Genomic DNA, 400 nt, shown 5'->3' with positions numbered 1-400 from the left:
GAGGCCTGGGGTGAGTGTGCACGGAGGTTGAGCTTGCAATAGCTGCTGGGAACTGTAGTTCTTCCACCTGCAGTCCAGTGGGCTCTTCCAAGGGAAAAAGGAACAACCCGTGTGGTGGGGAGTGGAGGGGCCGGACAGAAAGGGGCTTCCTGACTCATTCGTTTAAGGCGGCATTCATCTTCTAGGCTATAAAAGTGTACACATTAAGGGCAGAATTTTAACACAAAGCGACTACTTCCCTGTGTCTTAGTCTCCTCATCTGTAAAATGGGACTATTGACAGTACCTGCTTTTTAGGATTAAAACAGAATTAATTTATATAAAGCACGTTGTACTATGTGCCTGACACATAAGATAAGAAAGCACTATGTAAGTTATAGTTACTAGTGTCCATGCATTCA

This window comes from Homo sapiens, chromosome X (genome assembly GCF_000001405.40).
Source record: "Homo sapiens chromosome X, GRCh38.p14 Primary Assembly".
NCBI lineage: Eukaryota > Metazoa > Chordata > Mammalia > Primates > Hominidae > Homo > Homo sapiens.
Note: the sequence above shows the minus strand (reverse complement) of the source record.